At 40.6% G+C, this 5,277-nt stretch overlaps 1 pseudogene, besides 2 other annotated features; it reads right to left on the reverse strand.

Moving 5' to 3' along the window:
• Nucleotides 536-805, reverse strand: HLA-DRB9 (major histocompatibility complex, class II, DR beta 9 (pseudogene); annotated as a pseudogene).
• Nucleotides 758-1,258: an enhancer, noted in NCBI's record as "H3K4me1 hESC enhancer chr6:32427819-32428319 (GRCh37/hg19 assembly coordinates)". NCBI's record gives its function as "activates a minimal SCP1, AML or CMV promoter by ChIP-STARR-seq in primed H9 embryonic stem cells {active_cell/tissue: H9 hESC(primed)}" and the evidence as "EXISTENCE:reporter gene assay evidence [ECO:0000049][PMID:30033119]".
• Nucleotides 3,354-3,554: a silencer, noted in NCBI's record as "peak5756 fragment used in MPRA reporter construct". NCBI's record gives its function as "represses an SCP1 promoter by STARR-seq MPRAs in K562 erythroleukemia cells {active_cell/tissue: K562}" and the evidence as "EXISTENCE:reporter gene assay evidence [ECO:0000049][PMID:32103011]".

A 5,277-nucleotide genomic window follows, 5' to 3' on the forward strand; every position in this document is an offset into this window, starting at 1 on the left:
AAATAAAAGTTTAAAATAAAAAAGAAAGAAATTAGTTCAATACTTTTTTCTCAGTGAAATGCTTATGCAAACAAATATCATACACTTTTATTTCAGAGATTTCGGGATCATAAAGGGAGTGTACCAAGGACAGTTTGTGACTAGCCTCCTCACATTATCCCTCACATTATCATTTCTCATCTCTTCTCCCCTAAACTTTCATGCCAACAGCAGACTAGGTAAGTTTCCCTTTCCTGCATCTCTAATGATTCAGGGCGATTAAGGTCTCCTTCTCCAGCCCCCTGCACCACCATTCCCACCCCCATCTCATCTCATCTCTGCCCAGAAGGCTGGAAGGACAAGCTGAAGCTCCCTCCTGTGTTCCCTCCCACAGCAGACACACAGACAAATCCCCACTCTACACTCACCTACCTGAGCCCTCCTAATTCCTTCTGGCTCACAATCCTACACCCTCCCACAGGGTGCTTACGTGTGCATACACACACACTCCCTGTTCTCAGGGACCCTACTCCCCTCCCCCACCCGCCTTGCTCACCTCGCCTGTGCATGGAGAAGCTCTCAAAAACCCCGTAGTTGTGTCTGCAGTAGGTGTCCAACAGACCCCGCAAGCAGCCCAAGAGGTTCTTCTGGCTGTTTGCATTCCTGGACTCTTCTCCGCTCCAGCTCCGCCACCGCCCGGAACTTTCCGACGTCCCTATGGAAGCGCGCATACTCCTTCCGGTGTGGATGAGTCTCTGCACAAACCGCATCCGCTCTGTCCCATTGCAGAAATAGCACTCGTGTTTAATCTGCTCCAAGAAATGTGCCGCAGGGACATGAAGAACCGGTTTCTTGGGCGGCATCCTAGGAAAAGAGTGATGGCTATGCCCACAATCAGCAGGGCGAGGGGCGGAACACCTTGACTGGCCCCCACCAGCCACCCCCGACCACCTAGGGGTTCCTCTTCCATCTGCCTGAGGCGGAGGGAGGCTGCGAGGGGCGTGGAATACCATTTGGGATCCGCTACCCATTTCCGAGCTGAGCTGGACGCCTCTTTGCAAGGCTCTGGATCAGGATCACCTTCCTCATCACTGTCTCCTGCGCTTCCTCCTCCTGGGAGCCTCCATCCAAAAGACACTTCTGCTGCCTCCTATCATGCCACACTCTACTCATTCCTTAAACAAGACCCACTGCCTCCATTCTGTAAATGCTTCCTTAGTGCTTACCTTGTGTCTCATCTGTGCCGTCTCCTGGGAATCCAAACGGGAAAAATAGACCTCATCCCTCCGCTGGAGGAGCTTAAAGAGAAGTGAAATTGATGGCAAAAAACCAAACACGCAACACCTTATACAGGAACGAAAAATGTTAAGAGAAGTGTGGAGTTCTAGAAGAAAGAATAGGATGATCTAAATTACATTAGGGTGCCAGAGAAGGACTCTGAGAGTGACAGCTCAAATGTGACCTTACAGGTTTAGTGGGTGTGAGCCAGGGGGCAGAGTGGAGCCCGTGTGTGTCTCTGGACAAAAAGGGAGGCACATTTCAGGTAAGCATAATATCATGTACAAAAGCTTGAAAGAATTGATGAACTTCTTCAAGAAACCAGAAAAAAGTTCACTAAAGCACAGCATGAAGGAAAGGAGGGGAAAAGATTAAACTGGAGAAATCACAAGAAGGGAACAATTAAAATCATTGTCATGTTAGGATTTCGATTTATACTAAATGTAATGGGAAACAGTTGAAGAGTCCATGACCCCAACACAGGTCCACAAACTTTTTTTTTTGGACTTTCTAAATCCAGAAAACTCACGAATTCACTTGCTGTTGTTTTTAATTTGTTGCCGAAACTCATTTGGCAAATCTGATCTGAAGAGGTAAGGACTCAAAAGTGTCACAGAGCTCTTACTGGTGACATGTGCATCTGTAGTTTCAATATATATAAACATACAAACATACGTATGCATGTGTAAATACACACAGATTTCAAATACTGTGCATGTATATATTTTTGATGTTTTTGTATTTATGTTTAAATGAACTATGAAAAATAAAAAATAAAGAAAAATCCTTGTGTTTAATAAAATGAGATGAATAGAAAGCATTTTTAAAATAATAATTTTTTTTTTAAGTTCTGGGTACATGTGCAGGATGTACAGGTTTGTTACACAGGTAAACATGTGCCATGGTGGTTTGCTGCAGCTATCAACCCATTACCTAGGTATTAAGCCCAGCACGCATTAGCTCTTTTCCCTAATGTTCTCCCCAGCTCTGCCCTCCCCCAGCAGACCCCAGTAAGTGTTGTTCTCCTCCCTGTGTCCATGTGTTCTCATTGTTTAGCTCCCATTTATATGTGAGAACATGCGGTGTTTGGTTTCCTGTTTCTGTGTTAATTTGCTGAGGATAATGGCTTCCAGCTTCATCCATGTCTCTGCAAAGGACGTGATCTCATTCCTCTTTATGGCTGCATAGTATTCCGTGGTGTATATGTACCACAGTGAATAGAAAGCATCTTACATTATCAGTAGTATAAAATGTAGAATTACTACAGAAATCTGAAGCATTTTACTGAAAAATATTTGGGATAGTCGTCACCATTTATGACTTATAATTACCAGTTGTTGAAAGTTAATAGAGATAGTAATTATCAAGAACACATCAAAATTTTGAAATAAACTGCATAACGCAAAAAAGTAAAAATGAAAATCTTGAACCTGCATTGATTGAATGGATTCATCAAGAAAGCAGTGAATTTATGCAACTGTCTAGTTTTTTTTTTTTTTTTTTTGGCAATGAAACAAGCAAAACTAAGCCATGAAGAGCTGAACTAAGAGATAAATGTGTTTTAAAAGTGTGAGTCTAGAATTTTTAGAAGAAACACAATGTAAACCAGTGTTCTCAGCCTTGGCACTATTGACATTTTGGACTAGATAATATTTTCTTGGTGAGAGGAGCTGTCTACTAGGGTCCCTAGCTTCTACTTGTTACATGTCAGAAGAAACTCCTGGTGTGACAACCAAAAATGGCTCCAGACATTGCCAAATGTTCCCTAGGGAGTTGGGAGAGGGAAGGGAGGGACAGAGGGGTGGTGAACTATCCCTGGGTGAGACCCACTAGTGTAACCATCTGAAAAATCTATGGTTAAAAAGCCGCTATTAATTATGGAATATTTGAGATTTACACTGAAAACTCTGCCAATATTCTATCTATTTAAAATCTTGGTCCTACATAAAACTTAGGATTTTTAGGAATCTAGTCCCAGTGCAGAGCTATTTTTCTAGCAAAATTAATTCATTCAGAACCAAGGTTTACTGATTTATTTGCCTTCCCAGTCGCCAAGTCATATTCTTAATTTCTGTGTCACTGGTCCACTACTCACTGCCTCAGCTAATTCATTTTCTAACTTTCAGTTTCCTACTCCCAACAATACAAGGAGGCATCAAATTACCAACCTTGGACAGAGGCAGAACTCTCATTTCTGTAGTTAAGCCTTCTCAGAAGGGGAGTGCTATGGTTTGGCTGCGTAAGCATTTCAATCTTGTCTTGAATTGTAGCTCCCACAATTCCCACGTGTTGTGGGAGGGACCAGGTGGGAGATAGTTGAGTCATGGGGGCAGGTCTTTCCCCATGCTGTTCTCATGACAGTGAATAAGTCTTATGAGATCTGATGGTTTTATAAAGGGAAAAACCCTTTCGCTTGCTGTCATTCTTCTCTTGCCTGCCATCATGTGAGACATGCCTTTCACCTTCCGCTGTGATTGTGAGATCTCCCCAGCCACATGGAACTGTGAGTCTATTATAGCCCTTTTTCCTTATAAATTATCCAGTCTTGGGTATGTCTTTATCCGCAGCCTGAAAACAGACTAATACAGGGAGAAACTAAGAAGATGGCATTCTCTCATAGATAGTTTCCAAAAAACGAGCAAGTCCCCAGATTTTGCGTAGAGACTTTCACAAGCTCCCTTCACCCTTCAGAAATGATAGCAGAGAGGAGAGCACTTTGGATGAGATAAGGTCTATCTTATTATTCCTAAATTCTCTGAGCACCTTCTTCACAGATAAGAATGTTGAAAAATAAAAATATGTGAAGTTGCCGTCACTGTAGCTTGCATAGTTAGCACTGCAGTCTATGCTCATGTGCCAAGCTTAGATTGCCATATTTAGCAAATAAAAATAGAGGGTGCCTAGTTAAATTTGGATTTCAAATACATTATTGTTGTTTATCTGAAGTTCGGATTTAACTGGGTATCCTGTACTTTATTTGGCAACCTTAGCCCAACTTGCTAATAATGCTCAGAAGGAGTGAATTTAATACTTCTTTGTTTTCTTTAACACATGCCTATGACAGCGTGCACATAGGGAAGTTTTCAAATGATAAATGCAAAATGAATGAAAGTTTCTCCTTTACATTGGGACTAGCAGACCTTGCATCTCTCTCCCACCCTGAGACACACCCTGTACATAAGAAATTCTATCAATAATTCAGACTCAGTCTAGTCACTATTCACTAGTGGTTGTAAGCTCAGGCTCTAGAATCAGGAAATCTGAATTTAAACATGACCCCTTCTACTTGGGTTAATTTTAACAATCATTAACCTTTAAATATATATATAAAATGGATCCAACAGTAATATATTCCTCACAGGATTATTGTTGAGGGTAAAACTAAGCAGTGGCTCTTCTTAGTGCTGATAATATAATAATCACTCTAATATATTACCATTTTATTTTTACAATCCCTATAAAGGAAAGCTTCATTATTTTTCTATTCCTTAACTTCTAAAGCAAGTAACGTCTACATCATGATTTGGCAATTGTCTTTTATTAATTTAGCACTAATTACCATTTTAAACACATGAGGACAGAAACACTGGTTTATATATAATAATTCACATGCCTAAACCTCACACAAAAGGAGATTGCTGATATCGAAGAGAGGGACTTCATATATACTCAGATTTAAATTGCAATCGGATTTCTAGCACTAACTTTGTGACAGTGGGTAAGTTCATTATACCCTTTGAATTTTAGATTCCAAAGATGTATATGCTTTTAAATACCAAAGATATGATAGGATAGGTATTAGATTTCCATACCAAAATTTATAAGCCTGGTAATTAGTCACTGCAAAATATTACAATACTCCACGCTAATACAGACCAGATTTGCTTTGTTTATTACTCCATTCTCATCACCCAAGGTAATAACTAGTATATTCTAAGTCACTAATAAATATTGGCTGTATGAACTAATAGCCTTTTGCATAACCTGTCACCACTGTACACAGGGGCCTTCTAGTGCTTC

Source organism: Homo sapiens, chromosome 6 (assembly GCF_000001405.40).
Source record: "Homo sapiens chromosome 6, GRCh38.p14 Primary Assembly".
Classification (NCBI taxonomy): Eukaryota; Metazoa; Chordata; class Mammalia; order Primates; family Hominidae; genus Homo; species Homo sapiens.